Genomic DNA, 25,327 nt, shown 5'->3' on the forward strand with positions numbered 1-25,327 from the left:
GTGATAGGATGCCGTGGGATGCTTCTGTGTTAAGGCAGTGACATATTGTTTTTAACAGCTTCCCTCTAGGACAGGGGTTCCTAACCCCTGGGCCTTGGACTGATACTGATTCGGGGCCTGTTAGGAAGCGAGCTGCACAGCAGGAAGTGAGAGGCAGGCTGGTGGGCATTCCTGCCTGAGCTCCGCCTCCTGTCAGATCAGCAGCAGTAGATTCTCATGGGAGCTTGAACCCCGTTGTGATCTGTGCCCGCAAGAGATTTAGGTTGCGCGCTCCTTTTGAGACTCTAATAATGCTTGATGATCTGAGGTGGAACAGTTTCATCCTGAAACCATCCCCAATACCGTATCCTTGAAACAATTGTCTTCCGTGAAACGGGTTCTTTGTGCCAAAATTGGGGATCGCTGCTCTAGGACACGAGCTGGGATCAGGATAGATGGTGGGGGTAGGGTGGAGGAAGGAGATGTGAGAAGGCTCAGGCATTGATCAGGTGAGACTGTGAGAAGGCTCAGGCATTGATCAGGTGAGACTGTGAGAAGGCTCAGGCATTGATCAGGTGAGACTGTGAGAAGGCTCAGGCATTGATCAGGTGAGACTGTGAGAAGGCTCAGGCATTGATCAGGTGAGACTGTGAGAAGGCTCAGGCATTGATCAGGTGAGACTGTGAGAAGGCTCAGGCATTGATCAGGTGAGACTGTGAGAAGGCTCAGGCATTGATCAGGTGAGACTGTGAGAAGGCTCAGGCATTGATCAGGTGAGACTGTGAGAAGGCTCAGGCATTGATCAGGTGAGACTGTGAGAAGGCTCAGGCATTGATCAGGTGAGACTGTGAGAAGGCTCAGGCATTGATCAGGTGAGACTGTGAGAAGGCTCAGGCATTGATCAGGTGAGACTGTGAGAAGGCTCAGGCATTGATCAGGTGAGACTGTGAGAAGGCTCAGGCATTGATCAGGTGAGACTGTGAGAAGGCTCAGGCATTGATCAGGTGAGACTGTGAGAAGGCTCAGGCATTGATCAGGTGAGACTGTGAGAAGGCTCAGGCATTGATCAGGTGAGACTGTGAGAAGGCTCAGGCATTGATCAGGTGAGACTGTGAGAAGGCTCAGGCATTGATCAGGTGAGACTGTGAGAAGGCTCAGGCATTGATCAGGTGAGACTGTGAGAAGGCTCAGGCATTGATCAGGTGAGACTGTGAGAAGGCTCAGGCATTGATCAGGTGAGACTGTGAGAAGGCTCAGGCATTGATCAGGTGAGACTGTGAGAAGGCTCAGGCATTGATCAGGTGAGACTGTGAGAAGGCTCAGGCATTGATCAGGTGAGACTGTGAGAAGGCTCAGGCATTGATCAGGTGAGACTGTGAGAAGGCTCAGGCATTGATCAGGTGAGACTGTGAGAAGGCTCAGGCATTGATCAGGTGAGACTGTGAGAAGGCTCAGGCATTGATCAGGTGAGACTGTGAGAAGGCTCAGGCATTGATCAGGTGAGACTGTGAGAAGGCTCAGGCATTGATCAGGTGAGACTGTGAGAAGGCTCAGGCATTGATCAGGTGAGACTGTGAGAAGGCTCAGGCATTGATCAGGTGAAAGGGTTTAGGTCGTATTGGTAGCAACAAAAGTGATGAGAAGCTATCAGATGTCAGGTATATTTCAAAGGCAGTGTCCTCAAGGTTTTCTGAAAGATTGAAAGTAGGGTTTGAGAGAAAGAAAGAAGGCAAGGATAATTCAAAGGTTTTTGGGCCTGATAACCCTGGGAGGGTGCAGTTGTCTTTGCTGGAGGTGGAAGAGCCTGTGGGATGAACAGATTGCAGATGCCTTAGGAGGAGCTTGGTTTCAATTTGTTAAAGTTGACTAAGCCAAGAGGGCAGCTGGAACATGACCCTGGAACTATGTGCAGTCGATTCTCGCTGTTCGTAGTCATCATGTTCTGTTATAGCAAATAGCTGAAAGCACTGAATTAATCAATACTGAACCATTGCTCCTAAGGGAAACACAGGCTGGGTTCCTGTGAGCCTCTGGTCACATTTTCATCAACCAATCAGTACATGACCTTTTCAGAATGTGTGTTTCTGTTTAAAGACACCTTATTGAATATATGTTATTGAATCATTAACATCGATTCACAGCCCACAGCACCGTAACTCCTGCCTGAAGGAAGCTTCTCTAACCCACCGATTTTCTCTGAAAGGCATATCACGGCTTCTTTGCTGTTAGGAAAGCTAGACAGACTTCAGCACTATGCTTGGGGCTGTTGTAAACAGGGAGATCTCCAACAAAACACAAAAATGTGAAAAACACGACACCAAATAGAGGGTGAGAAAAGACCCTCGTTTACAGTCTGAGCTGAAACATGAAGAAGGAGCACCACCTCATTCCGCCTGAGCTTGAAACTTGCACATCAGGCAGCTCAAGTATTTGGTCACTCTATGCATGTCCACAAATGACCACAAAGTATTGATTTGGGGGTTGCAAATAACTTTTAGCCAGTAGGCAAATTTGCAGATAGAGAATCCTTGAGTAATGAGGATCAACTAGATTTGGGAGATGTTAATTTATGGCTGCGTTTTAAAGCCGTGAACCGGGATAGGCAATGAAGGAGAGGAAAGATCCCAGAGCTGAGTCCTGGGGACATCAGGGTGGAGAGGTCAGGGGGACAAGCTGGATCCCGCAGAGGATACCAAGACAGAGAAGGGGCAGTGGGTGAAGTAGAAAGAGTGCTGGCGGAGAGTGGCGTGCTCCCCGTCAGACATGGAGAAAGTGCTTCACATAGAAGTTATCACATGTCAGTTGCTGCTACTGAGTCAAGTAAGATGAGGATTTGGTTGAACTTTTTTTTTTTTTTTTTTTTTTTTTTGAGACGGAGTTTTGCTCTTGTTGCCCAGCCTGGAGTGCAGTGGCACGATCTCAGCTCACTGCAACCTCTGCCTCCTGGGTTCAAGCGATTGTCCTGCCTCAGCCTCCCGAGTAGCCAGGATTACAGGCATGCGCCACCATGCCCTAGGCTAATTTTATATTTTTATTAGAGACGGGGTTTCTCCATATTGGTCAGGCTGGTCTCGAACTCCCAACCTCAGGTGATCCACCTGTCTCGGCCTCCCAGAGTGCTGGGATTACAGGCGTGAGCCACCATTCCTGGCCCTGGTTGAACTATTAATTAAGTGTGGTGGCCCTGTGGTCAGAGGAATGGCAGGAAGAAGGTGAAACGGGTCTTGGTAAGTACACCAGCATGATGTCCACCGTGGGGCTCGCCCCAGCCACTCACCTCCTTCCGCAGCCATGGCTTCTCCCTGCAAGGCTCTTGGGACACCATTTTGAACCTTGAGCAAAGAAACTGCTGGAAAGTTTTCCATCTGAGCAGGGCAGAGCCCAGCCCCATTTGGCAGCTGCGAGGGAGGAGGGAGAGAGAGCTGCCACTTGTGATTCAGGGACCACACTGTCCCCTGGGCCCAAGCCAGGGGCAGGACGCTGCTGTCTGTTCCCAGCCTAGCATGGTGTCTTTGTATTTAGAAAGAAATGTGTGAATAAAGATGAGGAAAAGCTTCCATTCCCCTCAGGGCAATCTATAGGTTTATAGCTTGAGTTCAGACTTTTGATAGGTCGAAGTGTTGGTTTCAATTTGTGAATCACCATTTGATTATTATCTAAATGACTATTCAGCTGAATAGTTAATTCTGCCGACATGAAGCTATGACTTCAATTTAAATGAGCTCTCTAACAATGAAACCGAAATTGGTGCTTTTTCCCCAAGTATCCCAATGCACAGGGTGCCTTAGGAGGAGGCAAGAGGACTATAAGCACTTGGAACTTCACCCTTTTACATGTGGCGGCTGCCTGGATTGTACACACCCTTTGCAAGGACTGTGGCCTGTGGAGGCGGCACATCACTTCACTGATAGCAGGAGTTGGTGGGCATCCCCATCCATGTCACTGAGATGTGGGCGGCTCATAGGGCTGGCTCTGCTAACACCAACAGGTTCTGCAGTAGATTGTGGTAGATGGGCCACACAGATTCATGTGAGGCAGTGTATTTCAGAAGCAACATTAAAATACAGGTGTGAAGGCTGGGCACAGTGGCTCATGCCTATAATCCCAGCACCTTGGAAGGCCAGGGTGAGAGGATCACTGGAGTCCAGGAGTTTGAGACCAGCCTGGGCAACATAGTAAGACCCCTGTCTCTCTAAAAAAATAGTAGGTGGGTGTGGTGGCACACACCTGTAGTCCCAGCTATTCAGGAGGCTGACGCAGGAGGATCACCTGAGCCCAGGACTTTGAGGCAACGGCGAACTATAAGCACACCACTGCACTCCAGCCTGGGCAACAGAGTGAGACCCCATCTCTAAAAAAATACGGGAATGAGAGGGTTCATCAAGGGTTGGAATGACCAGGGGAAAACTCCTGGAGGACATGGATTTGGAGGAAGGGTAGGACTTGAGCAAAAGTAAGGAGAGTCACAGGTGCAGAGCAGGCAGGGGGAGCAGAGGCCCAGAGTCACGGGCTGCTTCTTGGAGGATCTGGGAGAAATGAACAGACTCACTGAGCCTCGAGAGAGGGCTGGTGGAATTGTACTTGGTGATCATTTAGGAGAAACGATGGGCCCATCTGGTGGAAAGTGGCTCCTCAGGATACCATGGTGGCTCTCAATATGGTATTGACCAAGATTGGGAATCCATTTAATTAAGTCAAGTATAACATTCCCCTTGGTCTCGGCAATAAGAGATAAAAGTCAGAGCTAAGGAAGTTAGTAAAATTATGTATATTGCCTGCTCAGCTGCATTAATTAAAATATCTGAATCACTGAACATCAGTAGGAAGTGACAGAAAACATCCGTATCAATCACGTAATTGACAAGACAGATGAGAAACTTCTATTTGGTGGAGGATGGCCTGTTTTCTATCTTTATCTTTTCTTTTTTCAAGAGACAGGGTCTCTGTCCCCCAGGCTGGAGTGCAGTGGCATGATCATAGCTCACTGCAGCCTCGATCCCCTGGGCTCAGGTGATCCTCCCACCTCAGCCTCCTGCAGAGCTGGGACTACAGGTGCACACCACCACACCTGGCTAATTTTTGAATTTTTTTGTAGAGACAGGGTCTCACTTTGTTGCTCAGGCTGGTCTTGAACTCCTGGGCTCAAGTGATCCTACTGCTTCATCCTCCCAAAGTGCTGAGATTACAGATATTAACCACTGTGCCTAGTTGAGAATTTTTTTTTTGAGCCTTATTCAGTGACAGTTCATCACCTAGCAGTATTTTATGTGGAGTGCACAACCACAGCCACACTATTCCATTACGGATGTCACTCAGAAATAAGAAGGAACATGTACAGCTGGTCCATCGTTCTGTCTAGAAGCAGACCTGCACCTTGATGCTTTAGATGGTGGCTGACTGTTATGTTCCTGAGGCTGTCGGGGAAGGAATCGTTCATTTCCTTCTGGAACTTAGTTGCCATGTTGGCTGCAAAGCCACGATAGATATCTTTGGTCTAACTCGGCCTTAACTTGCCTAAAATAGTTTAAACGTGTTTCATCTTGTTCTTCTCTAAAAGGAGATGGAGAACAGTTGGTCAACATTCTCGGTGTATTTTTTCACTGAGTTAGAGGATTGGTGTTAATTCAGGGATCACTGCACTTCTAGAAGTTGATGTGGGGCGTGGGATTATGATGAGCTCTTGGAAACCAGGGGTTCCAGCCAGCACAGTGTTGGGGCGAGGACCTCTATCCTCAAAGCCACCCAGCAGGGGACTTGAATGTAAGCGTCCTCCTCTGTCTGCCATTGATTAGATATGAAGGAGGCCTGTGCCTTTCACTTAAACTTGGGGATTCTCAGTTTCTTGTATATAAAATAAATGTGCTGGGCTAAATATCTCCTGTAAATTTTTTTTCTGGTTTTAACATTGTGTGTTTCTATAGACTTGTGAGTTGGCATCCTTTAAGTATGTAAATATCTACGTGTCAAGGATACTGGCCATCATTGTTCCTGTCTTCACTCCGTACAGCCAAGAAGAAGGATTCAGTCAATGGACCTCCCCAGCGTCTGTCTTCTGAGTGATCTCGATTCTTTTCATCTTTCCCCATAGCGCCTCTGTTCCCAGTCCTTTCGTCTTCACTCCTCGATGTGGTTGCTCCCCAACAGAGCTTGCTTTTTATTTGTTTCTCACTTAAATACCATATTTTGGTCCATGACTATAAGCATTACATCATTGTTCTCATCCTCTCCGACTGTTAGTGTCACAACAGGGTTTTATGTAACTGAGAAATTGTCATACAGGGCACAGATGAGTAGGTGGAACATCCAGATGAGAGTTTTCTCTCTTTCTCAACAGCCACTTGGTGACAGCCCACAGCGAACATTTTATCACACCGTGGGCTGCAGCCAGACCCCCGGTGTTGGAGAGGACAGGGCCCCCTAAGTGGGGAGACTTGTAGGGCCTGCTCCTCTTCGTGGACCTGACTCATCGCACGTGGGCGACGTAAACCCAGCCTGGCTTTGAGGAGCCCCATCCCACACATGGCAGTCCCACAGAGTCGCTCTGAACACAGTGTTTTTAAGGCACTTTTCTTCCTTGTGGAATTGCTTCTTTAGATACTTGATGTGGGAGGGAGGTCACGTTTTGTCGTGGTGGGAAAGAGGGGGAGGGCAGCATTGTGGAGCTCCATTTGTTCTTTGTCATGATTAAAAACCAAAACCCTGGAATGACTACGGCAGTCTTCTTAATCAGATTTCACAAGAAAGGCTTGACTTAAGTACAGAGTAGGCGTCACGCCGTGATCACACAGCAGGTAGGCCCCCATGGGAGACCCCAGAAGGGCCGCACAGCAGTGCCGTTTGTGGCCACATTGCTCTGAAATGCCTTCCTTGGCACAGTTGACTTCCTCCATCCCGCGGAGTTCCAAGGCCCTCCCACATTTCAAAAGCCCAGTGGCCCCAGCTTCTACTCCCTCCCCGTTCCTTAGCCTCACTCCTCCATGATTGGCTTTGGGAGCATTTAAACAGCAGTCCCAGCTCAGATGAGAATGGTAATTACATACCAGTATGGTGCTTTCATGGGGACTTCTCATGCCTGTGGTGAAACTCGAGGCTACTGGACAGATCAGGGTAAGCTGCTCTTTGGCGATACTTTTTTTTTTTTTTTTTTTTGAAACGGAGTCTTGCTGTGTTGCCCAGGCTGGCGTGCAGTAGCACGAGCTCAGCTCACTGCAGCCTCTGCCTCCCAGGTTCAAGCGATTCTCCTGCCTCATCCTCCCGAGAAGCTGGGATTACAAGCACGCATCACTGCACCTGGTTTTTATATTTTTAGTAGAGACAGGGTTTTACCATGTTGGCCAGGCTGGTCTCAAACTCCTGACCTCAGGTGACCCACCGGCCTCAGCTTCCCAAAGTGCTGGGATTACAGGCGTAAGCCACCATGCCTGGCCTGGTGATATGTTTTTAATTTAATTGTTTTTTTTTTTTTTTTTTTTGCCATCCTGATCTATTGCTAGAGGCAATTCATTCCTCATGAATGACAGCTCTAGGTGAAGGCTGATAGAGACCAGAGAAGGAGGCTATCCCAACAGAAAAGATCAGAGCTGTCCCAAAAGCCTTCTGCTCTTCTTCTGTGACTTTGGATGGAAGACAGACTTCAGGCAGAGAACGCTCCTGTGTTTCAGCCTGATTTTTACTTGCCAACAGTCTGGATTGCAATACTGGAAACCTGGGTGAAGCAGCAGCTGTTTATCAAGATGCTCCTGGTAAAAGTCCCTCATTGTCTTAATTTTTTCTTTTTTAATATCCCTGCTGCTGCAAATTCTGCTACTGACAGGAAGCTGACCTGACCCAGCACATTCAGTATCACCTCCTTGTCTTGATGTCATTCTTACTGAGGCCAAATTCTCTACTGAAATGTGTGTCTGGGGTTGCAACAACACGAAGCTTAATTTTATTTTTCCTGATCTTTAAGTTCTGTTTAGCATCTCTGAAAAGGCCACTGCTGGGTAGAAATGTCATCTTTCTCTCTCACTGTTTGAGAGAAATCTTCTCGTGTCTTCTCTGATACGCAGTGTCGCAAACTGTTAGAAACTTGATTACAGTTTGATTTAGTAGCTGGTGTTCCTTCCCCCACCAGCAGGGGGGGCATCGCTTCGTCCCACTTCCTGGTGGAAGTTCCTCAAGGACCGGAAGACCAGCTGTGATCTGAGCGTCTAACCCTGGACACAGATACCTACTGGCATTGTTTACAATGAGAGGCCATGTGCAACTCTTCCAAATTGAGCTCCAGTTCTTTTCCTTGCAGGCGTAACTCTAGGACACAGTGGCATGTGCCCATCAAGACAGGAAACTGAGGCATAGGCAAGGTAATGAATCCTCTAGTTTACTGTGGCACAGAGCCCAGCCTATAATCCTGTCCTCTGATTCCATGCTGGATCTGAGATAACAGACTTGTTTTTTAGAGTAAATTCAGTATTTTCAGTTTTTTTTTTTTTTGTTTTTTTTTTTTTTGAGACAGAGTCTTGCTCTGTTGCCCAGGCTAGAGTGCAGTGGTGCAATCTTGGCTCACTGCAACCTCCACCTCCTCGGTCCAAGCAGTTCTCCTGCCTCAGCCTCCAGAGTAGCTGGGACTGCAGGCATGCACCACCGCGCCTGGCTAATTTTTGTATTTTTAGTAGAGACGGGGTTTCACCATGTTGGCCAGGCTGGTCTCAAACTCCTGACCTCACGTGATCCGCCCACCTCAGCCTCCCAAAGTGCTGGGATTACAGGCGTGAGCCACTATACCCGGCCTGGTGCTGGACTGTTGGCTTTTATCTTCTGGCATCGAGGACTGCCCCTGTCCCCCAGGCTGCTCCCTCCTGATGTGTCACCGTCCTCCGCCCACTGGAGGGGTCATGTGTGAAGGACAGAGAGGAGAGGCCACACAGACTTCCATGGAGGTGAGCAAAGCACCCTGAACGTGGGCTTCCTAGGAGGCTAAGGGCTTCGCCGTTTCCTCCACCCTCTCAGCAGAAACTGCTTCTTGGCACGTCCTTGGGGCTCGGGAAAGGGAAAATTCTTTTCTACTTCAGAAGAGCATGAAGATTGATTACCACGAGCCCCACACCCACAAGACAGCTGCTGTCTTAGTTTCAGTCCCCTTGGTTACGCCTTGTTCTTCTCTCTTCTTTGGTAAGGAAAATGGGCAATTTAATTGTTTTAAAAACAAGATGAAAGGTTTCTGAAACTCTTTTTTTGTTTTTTTGAAGTCTCTCGAGTCTTTCCGTTCGCCAGGAATACTTGCTCTAAATCAATATAAAGTAGCTTGGTTCCCGCAAAGTGGAATTTTCCATAAGTGGGCTGGTGGTGAGTCTCACAGTAGTAAATCCAATTATTTTGAATTTTCTACCTAGTTTTATAAAAAGCATGAGTTAATCGTGGTCTCTGAGAAGGACCACATCTCTCCACAGGGGTCTCTGATGGCTCCTTGGACACTCTGGTGAGGCTGAGTGGTTTACATGGAGCTTAACTTTTATTTACTGGTGTAAACTTGATAAGCCGATGGGATATTGTTTTGTCAGGAATAGCAAAGAAAGCTGAGTTAATAGCACCCAAGATCTGACCAGGAGGAGGTTCTGAGAGATCGTGTAACAAAGTATTTCTTTCTGCCCTTTGCCCCTAAACCTGGTAGACCCGAACTTCCTTGGAGAAAAGGTATTTTTTTTTTTTTTTTTTGAGATGGAGTTTCACTCTTGTTGTCCAGGCTGGAGTGCAATGGCAGTCTTGGCTCACTGCAACCTCCACCTCCCAGGTTCAAGCGATTCTCTTGCCTCAGCCTCCTGAGTAGCTGGAATTACAGGCATCCACCACCGCGTCTGGCTAATTTTTGTATTTTTAGTAGAGACGGGGTTTCACCTTGTTGGTCAGGCTGGTCTCGAACTCCTGACCTCAGGTGATTCATCCTCCTTGGCCTCCCAAAGTGCTGGGATTACAGGCGTGAGCCACCGTGCCGGCCAGAGAAAAGGTATTAAAGGGAGAGCAACATGAGTGACAAGCACATTCACACACTGAGAGTTAGGGTGAATTCTGCCTCTTTTCTCCTCAAAGTTCCTGTCTGAAATCATGTGTTCATGGAAAGGTATTTAGCAAACTGCTCTTGCTTTTACCTAATACAGGTACTTGCCAATTGGCAGTTGCTTCCATTCCCAAATTCATTTGTTCCCTGCCTCTGCCCGTCCTGTGTTATTTTTTCTTGTACCTACTCACCAAAAATATTTCAGGCAGCAAAGTTGACTTGTAGCCCAGTCGTGTGGAATTTGGAAGACATTTTTCCACAGAAATAATGGTGTGTGGCGACTAGGTTGGGTTCAGTTGAATCACCAAGTGCTGACCAATCAGGACATACGGAGATGAGAGCTCTGCCCTGCCCCTCCAGCAGCGTGAAATCTGATTTGACAGTGGGATTTATGCAGCAGTAAAGGGACATTGGAGGTACAGAGGGAGTCAGAGGAGGCCATTGTGTTACAGGATTTTGATGAATGCACCTGGGAACCCAACCGTTGTGCCCAATGTGTGTCAACTGAGTACAGCCGCCCCCACGCTAACCCCACTCTCTGCAGCTCCAAAACGCTGGCTTTGGGCAAGCCTAAGGGATATCCTGAAGGCTGGACGTGCCGACTGGCTTGCATAGGTCCCTTGTAATATCTCCAGGTGGGTGGGTTTCCCTATAGCCACTGACAGAGCCCCCAGGGACTTTGCCTTGTCATTTGAGGGGATGTGCCTTCTGTTGTGTCTGGGCCAGGAGAATAGGCCCTTTCCTGCTTTGTCTGGAGGCTGGGGACATCTTACACAAGCCATGGAGCCTTTCAGTGACCGCCTGTCTTTGTTAGTAGCTCCAAATAAGCAAGAACTCAAAGCATCCCTCTTGCAGGAGGCATGGGAGCAGCAGGGAGTCCTTGTCAGGTTCCCCAATCACACGTGAATTCTGCTGCATACGATTAGAATACAATTTCTCCTTGACTAGGAAGCTCTCGGGTATCTCCAGGCAGCACTGGCCAGGAGATGGAACTGTGGCTGCATAGTTCAGAGCCCTCATCACTTTCCGAGGCCCCGGAGGGACTGTGCTGGGCACCTCCTGGGTCTGGAAACTCGTTGGTCTTCTGCAAGTTTGGAAGCTGGACGCTGTGATTTTTTGGAATTACAGCAGAGTCCTTGCCACGCGTCATAAAACTGGTAACACAACACTGGCCGGTTCGGCTGGTTCTCAGGCAGGAAAACTGGCGTCTGACAAGATCAGAGTGAGAAGTGGACTCTCCCAGGGCTATGTACCTCACCACAGCTGAAACAAGAAAATGGATGGGTTGGGGGCTATGCTAGAAAGGCCGGGTGAATTCAGCAGGTTGGTGAAACAGTGCAGCTGACTCCCGATCACAGGAGGCGAGCAGGAGAGAGAACATCCTCGTGGATCTCCACGGTTTGGCCCGGTTTGGCCACCATATCAAATTATCAGGAGAGTTTTGAAAATTGCCTGAGAATGTTATATTTTCCACGAATTTCCGTGAGATGAAAAATAGCTATTTGAAGTGATCTTGGTGGGCTTTTTCAAACAATGTTTCAAAGGACCCTTGATTCCAGCAATCACAAGTGAAATTAGAATTTAGGGTATGGGTGTGTGTGCCATTATGCAATTTTAAAAATATTTCATGTTGGTGGAAATGTCATTTCCAAATCAATTTGCTTTGTCTTGTTTGCTGGGTGACATGTCACTTCTATATTCACCCTCTGGCTTTGTTTCCAAGCACAGTTAAGACGGTCACCAGAAGACAAATAGTTTACCCACCTCTAATTGGTTAAAAAATATTTGTATTTTGTTGGTCGATATAACACAGATAAGACACAACACCAAAAAGTGCAAGAAATGTACATTCTTGTTCATATTCTTGACACAAATATGTAAATTTCCATCGCCAATATTGTCATCCTGATATTTACTTGTTTATAATTTAGAACTTTTCCCCCATAACAACCATAGTGTTATCCAAAGCAGAAATCTTATGTATTTTTTTATTTGTTTGTTTGTTTGTTTATTTATTTTAGAGACAGCGTCTCACTCTGTTGCCCAGGCTGGAGTGCAATGGTGCAGTCATAGCTCACTGCAGCTTCCAACTCTGGGCTCAAGTGATCCTCCTGTCTTAGCCTTCCAAAATGCTGGATTATAGGCATGAGCCACTACATGTAGCCCAGGAACCTTTTCTTAACCATATGCTTGATGTCATAAACTTTACCATTTAAGCAGAGTCTCGTGTTTTAAAAATTATTTAAGTGTAGTTAGTCTGTGGCTGCAAGAATCTAAACATCTCGGCTGGGAATGGTGGCTCACGCCTGTAATCCCAGCACTTTGGGAGGCCAAGGCGGGTGGATCACCTGAGGTCAGGAGTTAGAGACCAGCTTGGCCAACAAGACGAAACCCCTTCTCTACTAAAAATACAAAAAGTAGTCAGGCGTGGTGGCGCACATATGTAATCCCAGCTGCTGGGGAGACTGAGGTGGGAGAATTGCTGGAACCTGGGAGGCAGAGGTTGCAGTGAATTGAGATCGTGCCACTGCACTCCAGCCTGGGCGACAGAATGAGATTCCTTCTCAAAGAAAAAAAAGAAGAAGAAGAAGAAGAAGAAGAAGAATCTAAACATCTCAAGTAACATCCAAGCATAAAAATTAGCCCCTTGCTTTTCCAGCCTGTACATGCCTTGCACCACGGCCCAGTGTGTCAGCAGATTTGCCAGATTGAGGGTGAAATGTGTCATGTGCCAGTGTCCCTTGATGTGTGGATTTCTAGAAAAAACCATGTTCTTTATTCTTTCTTTTTCTGAGCAATGGATGGTGGCCAGTATGTTCCTCATTCTAACAGATGATGAAGACGGGGAGGAGGTTGTTCTTTTAAAGAGTCCTCCCTCCCACCATCCACGATGCTGGAGAACTGTGAGCATAGAGCACTCACGAGAACACAGAGTATCCGCGCTTCCTAGGCAGGAAGCCTGCTCTGCGGTGGCTGTGGCCTTGTATTCCTGCTGTCTTCCTTGGCTAGGGCATCCGCCGGGTCTTTGCTCAGAGGCTGTGTAAGCAGCTGTTGGAGGCACCGCAGCTTCCTTGTCTGTGCTCCTTTCTCGTGTATCTGTTGCTTTGGGCTTCTTTCTTTACCCCCGCGTTTGTTTCCAAGCACAATTAAGAAGGTCACCAGAGGCCGGGCGCGGTGGCTCACGCCTGTAATCCCAGCACTTTGGGAGGCTGAGGCCGGTGGATCATGAGGTCAGGAGTTCGAGACCACCCTGCCCAACATGGTGAAACCCCATCTCTACTAAAAATACAAAAATTAGCCGGGCCTGGTGGTGCACGCCTGTAATCCCAGCTATCTGGGAGGCTGAGGCAGGAGAATGGCTTGAACCCAGGAGGTGGAGGTTGCAGTGAGCTGAGATTGTGCCGCTGCACTCCATCTCCAAAAAAAAAATTATGTTTTGTTGGTTGATGTGACACAGATAAGACACAACACCAAAAAGAACAAGAGATGTATATTCTTGTTCAAATTCTTGACACAAATATGTAAATCTCCATCCCCAATATTGTCATCCTGATATTTACTTGTTAATAATTTAAACTTTCCCCCATAACAACCATGCTGTTATCCAAAGCAGAAATCTTTTATTTTATTTTTATTTATGTATTTATTTTAGAGATGGGGCCTCACTCTTGTTGCCCAGGATGGAGTGCAATGGCGTGATCATAGCTCACTGCAGCCTCCAACTCTGGGCACCTGGCACGGGGCAGGAGGTTGTGCCCTGAAGTTTGTCCTGAGCTCCCAGCACCTCTGTGCTGTTTGATATCTGGTTCTGTGGAGTGGCCAGGCCTGGCTGCTGCGCCATCTCACTGAAGAGCTTTGCAGATTCTTGTGATCTGGAACCTAGCGCCTCCACCCCCTAACTTAGCTCTTCCCTCCCAACACACGCTGTCAGCTCTGCGGGAGGGGAAGCTGGTCAGCCGTTGCTCTAGGAGCCTTCTCTGCCTCAGGGACACTTTCCATCAGGCCACGAGGCTGGCCCCGGATGGTCCTTGTGGATGTCGTTGCTTCTCACGCCTCTGTGCCTGTTTGGCCACTGGGACCAGAGTGGCAGCTCAGGGAGAGCATGCCTCCTAAATCAGAAAGACATTAACTGTGGTAAATGTGGCTCCCTTTTGTCAGTTCCCATAAGACAAGAGTCTTGAGAAATACGCTCTTAGCAGTCGGGGCGGACGAGTCAGCTATCGCCCGGCCAGCCAAGGGCGGCCCCTCCCAGGTTGAGTTCCCTCACTTTGTAGTTCTGTCTCTCATTTTGCTGCCGCTTTGAGGGTGAACATGGTGAAGAAAGGATGTGCAGATGTATTTATTTTGCTCTTGTTTAAAAAAAATAAAAATCTGATAGAAAGTTTGGGGGCGTTGCAGACTAAAGCCAGTTTCGGGGATTATCTGTGGAGTGCATCCCTCACTGCCATAGGCAGAGGCGCTCAGCAGTGGTTTGTCTACCTTCCTGTTCTTGCTCAGGAATATATTTACTGTCAATAGGATGAAAGAGAGGATTTCCCTTTTCATTTTTCTGCAAAAGAACTTTTCCTTTCCAAGTGTGTCCAACCCCCGGAGGACAGCTGTGAGTGTGACCCAACACAAATTCGTAAATTTTCTTAAAACATTATGAGATTTTTTTGGCGATTTTTGTTTTTTAGCTCATCAGCTACTATTAGTATTAGTGTATTTTATGTGAGGCCCAAGACAATTCTTCTTCTTCCACTGTGGCCCAGGGAAACCAAAAGATTGGACACCCATGTAAACCTAGACTGAAGACGCTCTCACCTTAGCAAACAGTACGTTTGAGTGAAAAGAGCTGCAACAAGGATCAGATTGACCTGGTTTCAAATCTCAGCTCTTTCCTATCTAGCTGTGTGATGTGGGACAAGTTACTTAACTTCTCTGAGGCTCATTTTTCTCACCTATCAGGTGCACTTCATGGTAGTTGTCAGAGTTCAAAGGATTGTAGCAGAAAACATTTATGAATGACTCACTCAGGACCCAGTTCATGGCAGACAATATAAATGAAGTCTCTTCTGAAAGGAAGTTCGTGTAGACGCCACATTCCCACTGGGTAACGTTGGCCAACTTACCTGACCTCTCATACCTCTGTGTCCTCCCCTGTAATTTGGGAATAATAGTGACCATGCTACCAGCACTTCCTGTCAAGGATTGTTGGGGTGAGTGAGTGAATACATCATAAAAGAAGACCTAACTCAGAATCCAACAAGTACTTTGTCAGCTCTAGCTATTTGTCTCTATCCTTAAAAATTTTCTGGAAAGTCTGTGCTAAAGACACTGCCATCAGATATGTTTGGGGGCAAAGGAGATTTTACTCAGATTCACTGCCTCTTCTTGTATTTTTCTACACTTTGCACTAACATATAGTGAGTGCCAGCTATGCCAGACGCTGCTGGTCGCCAGAGTGGGTGGGTAGCCAATGCTGGGCGATGGCCACAGGCCAGGAACAGGGAGTCAGGATCAGTATAGAACAAGCCCCAAGGCCAGTAAAAGAGAATCAGTATAGAACAAGCCACAAGGCCAGGAACAGGGAATACAGAGCAAGCCCAAGCCCCCAGCATGGATGACTCTTGATGAAGAGTGCTTTAGAACCAAGAATGCAAGGTTGAATTGCAGTTTTTCTGTTTCACAGATGAGATGGGAAAATGCAATGAGCATGCTGACACCCTCCCCAAACCTTAGAGAAGGAATTAGGGGCAGGCCTGAAGCAGGAATTTCAGAGGGTAGGCCTTAGCTCTGAGCTCCACTGCACTGTCACCTCCAGGAGGGCCCAGGGAGGGGCTTCACCTTTGTGACCCCACAGCACCCAGAAGGCCCTAAACAGAGGCCAGAAATGTTGCCTTGAGCTGACTTGAGGTGACGTCACAGACTCCAGACCTCAAAATGAGTATTTCTTTTTATGTCAGCCTGATTTGTGTTACAGTGCTTAGTACGGCACTGCCATAAAATAGCCATGTATTATGTGTTTGTTGACTGACAGAGTTCCATCAGTAATCTCACATCTCACACACACACACGCACACACACACTCACCCACACACCCCTTCATTTTTTTTAATTTACATTCTTTATATACTGTAGCGTCTTCATATTTCTTTCTAGTTAAAAATGCCTGTTGAGTGCAGTGACTCATACCTATAATCCCAGCATTTTGGGAGGCTGATGGGGGAGGATTGCTTGAGGCCAGAAGTTCAAGACCAGGCTGGGCAATATCACGAGACTTCATCTCTTAAAAAAAAAGAAAATAAAAATTAGCCAGGCATGGTGGCATGCACCTGTGGTCCCAATTACTTAGGAGGCTGAGGTGGGAGGTTTGCTTGAGCCCAGGAGGTCAAGACTGCAGTGAGCCATGATTGTGCCACTGTACCCCAGCCTGGGCAACAGAGCAAGACCCTATCTTCCTTCCTTTAAAAAAAAAAAGCCAACACATAAAATGGGTTATGTCTCTCTACTCAGTTTTTATACTCACTGAAAGTTCAGGCCAAATAGCAGACCCCAAAAACTGTCTTCAGTCCGAGGCATGTAAATTGTCAGGCTGTGTCTTTTCTTTGTCTTTCTGCAGCTCCTGAAGTCCTCGCCCAGAAACCTTACAGCAAAGCCGTTGACTGCTGGTCCATCGGAGTGATTGCCTACATCTTGTAAGTACTGCCTGCTGCCTTGGGTTCTTCCTCTACCGGCCTTTTTTTGTTTGGTGAAATATACATGAAACAAAATTTACCATTTTTAAGGGTACAGTTTAAGGGTGCAGTTCAGGGCCATGTTTAAGGGTACAGTTCAGTGGCATTAAGTCCATTCACAGTGTTGCACAACCACCATTACTATTCACTTCTAGAACTTTTCCATCACCCCAAACTGAAACTCTACCCCTTACATAAAAACTCCTTTTCCCTTCTCCCCTAGCCCCTGGAAACCTCTGTACTCTTTTCTGTCTCTATGAACTTGACTCTTCTGGGGACCTCATATAAGTGGAATCACACAGTATCCATCCTTTGATGTCAGGCATATTTTACTTAGCAAAACATCTTCAAGGCCCATCCATGGTGTAGCATGGGTCAGAATTTCCTTTCATTTTAAAAACTGAGTATATTCCGTTGTGTGGATAGACCATGTTTTGTTTATCCCCTTGGTCCGTCGATAGACATTTGGGTTGTTTCCACCTTTTGAGTAATGCTGCTGTGAACACAAGTGTAGAAATATCTGTTTAAATCCCTGCCTTCACTTCTTTGGGGTTTCTATCTAGAAGTGGAATTGCTGGGCCATGTGGTAGTTCTACCTTGAATTTCTGAGTAGCCACCATGCAGTTTTCTGTAGCAGCAGCACCACCAATTTACATTCCCAGCAGCAAACACAAGGGTTCCAGTTTCTCCACATCTAAACCAACAGTTGCCATTTTCCTTTTTTTCAATAATAGCCCTCTAATGGGTGTGAAGTGGTATCTCATTGGGGTTTTCAATTTGCATTTTTGTAATAGCTAATTAAGCCTCTTTTCATGTGCCACTTTGGCTTTTTGGTGGATACAAACCACTTGGAAATAGTACATCTCCCAAAGAAATCATAATGAGAAAAAAATGCAATGAAAATCTCAATTTCGCCTTTAGATTTCTCATTTCTTCTGAGACGTCTTATCTCCATAACCCAGGAAATGCAATTCTAGGCCATAGGCTTGTTGCAGTTATTTCAGGATCATCAGTTTTGTTTCTTATTTGTTTTGCTTAAGTCTACTGTAAAGTTATTTTTAAATTACAATTTCTTTTACAAGTTATACTTTCAAATGCTTATTATGGAACATACTTTTAGGGTAGGCTTAGGCCAACTTGTTTCTGCAATTGCTAGGAAATGAATTTCCCCATTTCATCACCCCCAAGGAGAAACATTTCCTTGCAGAAAGAGCCCCCTGCACACAATAAAAGACTGCAGGGGATGGTGATTGGAGAAAGTTCTGGCAGTGTGTGGCATCCTCTTCTCCTCCAGGAATGCTGGAAACATTCCCCCACTACACCACCACCACATTGGTTTTGGTGCAGTATCTGAGAAGCAGATGGCCTTTCTCCAGCGTTCAGCTGGGCTGCATTTGTAGTTTAGTGTGGATTTAGGTAACAGTGCCTGTAGATTCTTGTCGTTATCACAGGAGAATTTCATCCATTGCCATATACTTGGCCTAAAGGACTCTCGTTTATGGAAATTGGTAAAGGGCAGATTCACCTGAGCTTTAAAACTAACATATTGCACTTACAGAATGCTTTCCCTTTCAAAAGACATTGATCACCTTTTGCAGTTTTATCCTTTTGAGGTGTGTTTCACATCCTTTTGAGAATCTAATGAAGGTCATGGATCCTATCCCCTAATAAAATCACATGTGTGCGCGCACACACACACACACACACACACGCACGCACACAATTTTGCATACCATTTTCTCGGGGGGTGTGGTCATTGTCCTGGGTAAGCAGACACTGGACAGGAGCCCTGTGTTACTCACCCTGGCTCTCTAAGTCCTCAATTAGAAATCTTATCAGAGGTCCTGCCTCATCCAGCTTGACTATGGAAGGCTTAAGGAAATAAATGCTAGGCCAGGCCTCTTCCTGCAAAGAACTGAAGCTGGTATCAGTCATCTAGAGAAACCTTCCCTGGGGCTGGGGAAAGTAGCCCTTTTTCTGGCCTTCTGGTTATTTGTTCCTTTATGTCTATCTGGACCTTGAACCATGACTATGGTCTGCACGAATGTCTGTGGACTCCCTTTGGGTTTGTTTGTATAATTATTTCCCTGAAGTTACAGCCTTGGGGTGGGGCATTGGTACAGCTCTGGTTAGGTACTTGTTGACAGATGCTGCCAGATGTTTCTTAGAATGACTGGGATAAGCAGTTTAAAACTAAGCAATGATGTCTTAGTCAGATCAGGCTGCTACAACAAAATGCCATGTGGTTTAAACAACAGATATTTATTTCTTACGGTCTGGAGGCTGGAAGTCCAAGATCAAGGTATCAACCAATTCGTTTCCTGGTGAGGGCTCTTTTCCTGACTTGCAGACAGCCACCTTCTTGCTGTGTCCTCACATGCTGTAGAGAAAGTACAGAAGAGCAAGCTCTCTGGTATCTTTTCTAATCCAGTCACTGGCAAAGCAAACAGGATCATCATGGTTGGCCAAGTGGAGCAGTTGACAGTGGGGAGAAGCCTTGAGTGAAAGCACAGTTCTTCTAGTGAAGAAGGAGGCAGGAAACGTGTTGGCAGTAGGCAACTAACCACGTTTACCATGGACTGTAGGTAGGAAGATGTTGGAAAGAGGGCCAGCATGGCTAGATAGTATCAAGACAATACATCAGAAAGCGACATGCAAGAAGTAACCTAGTGCCAGAACAAAGAGAGACTGATTAGAAAGTTTGGATTTTAACCCAAGAGCAGTAGGGAGGGTTTTGAACAGTGTTGTGATCTGATCTGATTTACGTTCGAGTATTATCCCAGCCACTCTGAAGAAAGCGTTGGAAGGAAAATGTGGAAGGTGGAGAATGAGTGGGAAGCTCTGGGCAGAGGAACAGTGAGAGGCGCTTCTCCTGGGGAGGCAGTGATTATGGGCAGAGTGGTGAAGAGATCTCAGATATATTTTGGATGTGGAGGATGAAGGAGAGGTAGTCTTCAAGTCTCAATCCAAGGAGTTGGCTTAAATAACTGTGTCGATGGTTAAGAAAAAAGAGAGAGGAATGGTAGAGGAGCCAATTTAGAAGGGTGGGTGAGATCAATAATTTGGTGATTTAGGAAGGGGGGTGAGATCAATAATTTGGTTTTGGATACATTAAGCTTGAGACCCTTGGAAGATACCCACTGAGTAGTGTATGCACGTGTGGAATTCAGGAAAGGTCCAGGATAGAGATCCTGGCACGTACTTCTGAGTATGATTTGACAAGTGGTGCACCCAAACCCTTATGATTTCCGTATGCACTGCAACATTTGCCAGGGTTCAAATGTAGTATTAAGCAAAGACATGCCGTATTCCTTTGAGTATAAATTTGGTAAGTTTCTACTTGATGGTTTCCTGGTCACACTAGCTTTGCCCCAGAGACTAGTCCCACATCAATTTCATGACACTGTCAGACTTCAAGATGGCAGCCTGGGCTTCTGTTTTCCCTAGTGCCTTCCAGAACTCTGTGAGTCCCAAGCAGAAAATGAATGGACCCTTGGCATCTCAGTTGTATTCTGTAAGATGTTCAGACTCCTATGGGTGATAGGTCAAATCCTGGGTATGATTGACCATATAACACGACTGCACTTGGAGTACCACCAGCCTCAACTTTATTATCAGTAGATTAATCTCCTTATGAATTCATCTTTTCTCACCATACAGATGGTTGGTACTCTGTTGAGAGGCATCGAGTCTGTATCATCTTTCCATGTTTCACCCTTTGCACGGTGCCTGGAATAGAGAAGGTAATCAATAAATGCTGGTTGTTGACACTAAGAATGATAAGTTTGAGGCTGGGGGTCTGATGTACAGGGAGGCCCATGCACAGCTATAGTAGGTCACAGAATGCAGTGGTCATTGAGGACAGGGAAAAGCACCATCAAGGCGGGTCTAGAAGGTTGGATAAGCAGAGAGATAAGAGCATCAGACAGGACAGGGGAGGGAGGCAAGGACCAGAGCAGGGTGCCATGGCCTGTGTGAGGGCTCATGAAGCTATCCTCTGACTGTTCTGTAGCCTGGGTTTGTGTCGATGTCAGAGGTGGGCACTGGATTTAAGCAGCGTTAGACATCAGAACTCGTTTGTCTCATTCTCAGACTCTTTCTCCTTCCTGTGGGTCCACCGTGCCTGGTCTCCCATTCCCACCTAAAGACTTATGCACAAGGCCACTGAGCGGTCCATGAGCAACAGGCAGCATGCCAGGGAGGCCACCTCCCCACACGGAAGTCACGGAGCGCCTCATTCTTCCCAGCCACTGTAATGGAAAAGAGGTCAGCCCCTGCAGTGTTTTGGAGCATAGCACTCTTATTTTTTATTTTTGTTTGATAAACCTGTCACGCTGAGATATCAGACTGCAGCCAAAGTGGCCGTGACAAGCCGTGGCACCGAGTTTTCTCCTCTTGCACGCCATATAAACATTCCTCCTTTTGCTGGTGTGCGCCCTTGATAAATTGGCCCTCTTTTGGTCTCCATTTATCTACTATTCATCATTTGGAAGGAGAAGTATTTTTTCCTACCAAGGACACTCATTTTTAAAAACCCATGTGATGAGTTCTTATCCTGCCAGGAATCTTGCTTTGGGGATTAGGACTTGCAAAAAACATCTTTGCTCAAATAGCTTATGCTGCCAGGAAGGGCTGAGGACGGCGTGGGTTGCGCTTTGTGATAAGCGTGTTGGTGTCCAGTGTGACGGGCTTGGCTCAGCCAAGATAGCATAAGGTCCAAGGCACAAATTTTCTCAGTCAAGATGAACCTCAGCATCTCACAGATCAATCTTGATTCTGTGATAACATGCGGCCCGCCTTTCTTCTCAGAACTTGAAGGATACTCATTTTTTAAATGATTATTTAACGATCATTTGCCTAAATTATGCTCAAGTATGCTGCGTATTGTGAGGAGACACTGAATGTGGGCTAACAGCTGAGAAGGATCCTAAAGAGATTCCCACTCCCAAATTGGAACAGGCACGTCAGAGGCACAAGAGCAGGCTGGACGGGTGGGCTGAACTTGGCCATGGGTGGGGAGACCTCAGACCTCTCTGCCTAGAAGAAACTCTAGGCAAAACGCTGATGGTACTCCACTTTCTTTAGTGAGCCTCTACATTGCTCACTTTTTAAAATTTACTCACATAAATGTCGATTTGCCTGTGCATGCAGCTGAATTAGCTTTGGAAGAATGGAACAGGGAAGGCCTAATCTGCATGCTTATATCCATGTTCTGAAACAAGAGATGAGCCTCGCCAAGGCAGTTCCCATCCCTTTGAGCAATTGACAGCTGGCTCTTGATGGAATACATATGTTCTAAGGAGAATTTGAGCCCAGGCATCCCCCAGAGAGAATGCAGCGTGGTCACCGAGCCCCAAGCCCCGGGGGGTCGTGATGGCTGTTATTCCTATCAGCATGAGGAGTGCTGACTTTAATAGGGACTGTTCACTGATGTGGCCAGCGGGCAACAGTCGCCTGCTTATATTCATGAGCTTTGTGAGGTGGGGCACGGTGCCTCATTCAGGCCACTGTGGGCCCATGGTCTGGATTTTGGCTTTAGAAATTTGGAAACTTAGTTTGATCTGTTTATTCATCTTGTTCAGACATCTTTGTGAATTGATTCACAGTAACTAGACTCAGAGGAGAAAAAAAAAGACTGGACTGTCCACTTACTAAATCATAATGCAGTTTGTGCCTCACAAGGTAATTGGATATGCATGTCAGCAAACAAACATGTTCTCTCCCCTATAGGAAATGCTCCGTGAGAAACCAAATGAAAAGCAGAAGTTTTCTTTCTTTTGGAACAGGGTATCAGAGCAGTGGAGGCGGGTGGCCTTAGATATATTCACGAAGCCTGTGCTGGTCTCCAGGCCACCTTCTCCATAGAAGGATGATTCCGCTGAGCAGCTCTTTCTCTTGGCTGGGTAGCACAGCTGACCAGTTCCTTTTTTTTTTTTTTTGTTTAGAGACAGGGTCTTGCTTTGTCACCCAGGCTGGAGTGCAGTGGTGCAATCATAGTTCAATGCAGCCTTGACCTCCTGGGCTCAAGTCATCTTCCCACCTCAGCTTCCAAGTAGCTGGGACCATAGGAGTGTGCCACTATGCCCAGCTAATTAAAAACAAAACAAAACACAACAAACTTTTTTTTTTTAGAGACGGGGTCTCACTATGTTGCCCAGGCTAATCTTGAACTCCTGACCTCAAGTGATCCTCCCAAAGTGCTGGCATTACAGGTATGAGCCACAGTGCCCAGCCCCTACTGACCAGTTCTTATGAACCCTCCTTTCTTCTGCTTTAAAGACCAGCCACCAGCCACCCACCATTTCCCATTATCACTCCAGCATCGTAGTTTGATTACAGCAGGCATCGATTGTTTGTTATGATTTCCAGTTGACTCATTTTAGTTCATGGATTGCATTTCGGTTTGGCTGCTTTCCAAGGGTTTTCAGAAAGGACCTCGTCTCCCCATCACATTCTCTGCCGAGTCCATCCTGGGGATGCTAAATGCCACCTGTGGGTTGTGAGTCCCTGCAGCTTTAGTTGCAGGCAGAATTTGGGCCATATTTCAGCTTTGTTAAGCTGAGGCAAGGGACTTGAGGCATTGTCTGTGACAATTGGTTTACTACCTCTAACCCCTCAAAATACTCTGGTGTCAGAGAGCAGGTACAGGAGGTACACAACAGTGAGGGGGGAAACTTCACAAGCAGAGCAGTTGAGGGAAATCGGGCTTTTAGATGGTGAGGGGAGCAACTCCCTGCCGGTGACCTCAGGCCGTGTGGAATGCACCAACTTCTGTGGCTTTGCCTTCAAAGGCCATGAGGTAGAGAGGGCACCACAGAGCGAGAGGTCAGAAGGTAGTGGCTCACAGCCGTCACTTTTGTGCCCTGAATGGCGTGGCTTCAGGCCAGATGGAGAAACATTTTACTTCCTGTGCTCTTATTTTCATCTTAACCCCATCTCCTAGAAGCCATAGTTTATATAGCAGCTAAAGGCTTTGGGATATTTGGCCTGAAGAATGGAAGGCAGGGGACTGACATCCATTCACTTAACTCACTTTTATCGAGCCTAACATGTGTCAGGCAGTGTGATGGGGATGCAGAGATGGATGTATCACCGGCCTGGCCTAGGAGGCACTTACTGTCTGCTGGAGGTGACAGACATTAAACAGATAAATTACAATCTAGTCTTACCAGCTGCCTGAAATGGGAGGGAGGTGGTGGGGCAGCTCCTAGAACAGAGCTGGGACTCTGCCCTGGCCTGAGGAAGCCTTCCCAGGATAGGTTACAGCGATCTGGGTTTGGAAAGATGGGTGAGAATCTGCCAGGAGAGAGCTAGTCCAGGCTGCGGGAAGAGCTCTGTCTTCAATATCTGCCTAGAGAGACTGATGGTTTATCCTCTCAAGACTCAATTATCTAAAGATAAAATGTGCTGTTTGTGTATGAGAAAAGAGATGCCATTCAATTAGAAACATAGTGTTTAAAATAGAGTTTGAAGGAGTTGATCGAGCTTTGAACTTTTAATATCTCAAACTTGGGGATGGGGAAAATATAGTCTCTGAATTATCAGGATTTTTCATTCCCCTAGCAGGACACTGTGCACACAGAAGAATCAGGGGCTCTTTATTATGGTTTTATATATGTATTGGAGGTGCACAGCAGCAGCACTCAGCAGGACAGGAGCAGGGCATAGATGGTGAAAAGAACCAAGGAACATGCACAGGGGGAAAATGCCCAGCTCCACGGTGGGTGGCACAATAGCAAGCGGGTGGCTTCAGGCCCCATTTGTGACGAAGAGAGTAGAGATGGAGGCCAGGAGGGGAGGGATTCCATCGTACACCAGCAAGTCAGGGAAACCCTGGAGGACACGGGTGGGAGGATCCTTGGAAGAGTTGATCAGAAGCCCACGACTCGACGCAACACCATGTAATGTGGTGCACGGTGCCACCTTCCCGCTTTTGGTCTCCTTGCCGTCCACGTTCCAAGGGCTTGTTTTCTAGTCCATCTCAGAAGTGCATTGTTGGGAGTCAGCAAAGAGGACACGCCGAAAGTGCAGTGAAAGGCCTCAGCCAATGGGGTGGAGGGAGCACGACATTGCCCTGGGGCCATTGTCAGCCTATGCAGATGCGTAACTGCTTACCCATCCAAACTAGGAGGGAGGGAGGGAAAGAGGGAGAAAAAGAAGGAGAGAAGGAAGGAAGCTAGGGAGGGAAGGAGGGAGGAAGGAAGAACCTAACCACCAAGTAAGCAAAGTCAAGCTGCAGAAATCTAACTTGGAAATTCTCCATGGGTTCCGCATCATCGGTTAGCGCTTGGTGCTAATCGCCTCCAGGTTGGGTGTCTGCACCCCTCATGCTTTGGTGTAAAATCCACCCCTCGTGAGAACTAACTCCTCTGCTTTGTCCCAGGTGTGCGCTCAGTTTCACTGTTAGCCATGAGCTGCTCTGAAAGTGGTTTTTTCCCAACTTCCTGCAGATGTATTTGGCCCTTTAGGAGGAGGCTTGGTACTCTGCACACATGCTCCGGGCTTTCTCGAGGTGGTGTCCATCTGGCTAATGCAGGAATCAAAATGTGGATTTTGCTGCTCACTAGTCATGCTTGGGGATGTGTTTTGTTCTCCC

At 47.0% G+C, this 25,327-nt stretch overlaps 1 protein-coding gene across 10 annotated transcripts in view, besides 3 other annotated features; it reads left to right on the forward strand.

Moving 5' to 3' along the window:
- Positions 1-25,327, forward strand: part of CAMK1D (calcium/calmodulin dependent protein kinase ID) — a 485,999-nt gene that overhangs the window by 424,995 nt on the left and 35,677 nt on the right. For all 10 annotated transcript variants that reach the window (XM_006717483.5, NM_153498.4, XM_006717482.4 and 7 more), the window contains one exon: positions 16,617-16,692. In XM_006717483.5, the coding sequence (XP_006717546.1) occupies positions 16,617-16,692 (76 nt within the window). The remainder of the gene's footprint in view (positions 1-16,616; positions 16,693-25,327) is intronic.
- Positions 13,487-13,988: an enhancer, noted in NCBI's record as "H3K4me1 hESC enhancer chr10:12830027-12830528 (GRCh37/hg19 assembly coordinates)". NCBI's record gives its function as "activates a minimal SCP1, AML or CMV promoter by ChIP-STARR-seq in naive H9 embryonic stem cells {active_cell/tissue: H9 hESC(naive)}" and the evidence as "EXISTENCE:reporter gene assay evidence [ECO:0000049][PMID:30033119]".
- Positions 13,989-14,488: an enhancer, noted in NCBI's record as "H3K4me1 hESC enhancer chr10:12830529-12831028 (GRCh37/hg19 assembly coordinates)". NCBI's record gives its function as "activates a minimal SCP1, AML or CMV promoter by ChIP-STARR-seq in naive H9 embryonic stem cells {active_cell/tissue: H9 hESC(naive)}" and the evidence as "EXISTENCE:reporter gene assay evidence [ECO:0000049][PMID:30033119]".
- Positions 21,861-22,362: an enhancer, noted in NCBI's record as "NANOG hESC enhancer chr10:12838401-12838902 (GRCh37/hg19 assembly coordinates)". NCBI's record gives its function as "activates a minimal SCP1, AML or CMV promoter by ChIP-STARR-seq in naive H9 embryonic stem cells {active_cell/tissue: H9 hESC(naive)}" and the evidence as "EXISTENCE:reporter gene assay evidence [ECO:0000049][PMID:30033119]".

Source organism: Homo sapiens, chromosome 10 (assembly GCF_000001405.40).
Source record: "Homo sapiens chromosome 10, GRCh38.p14 Primary Assembly".
Classification (NCBI taxonomy): Eukaryota; Metazoa; Chordata; class Mammalia; order Primates; family Hominidae; genus Homo; species Homo sapiens.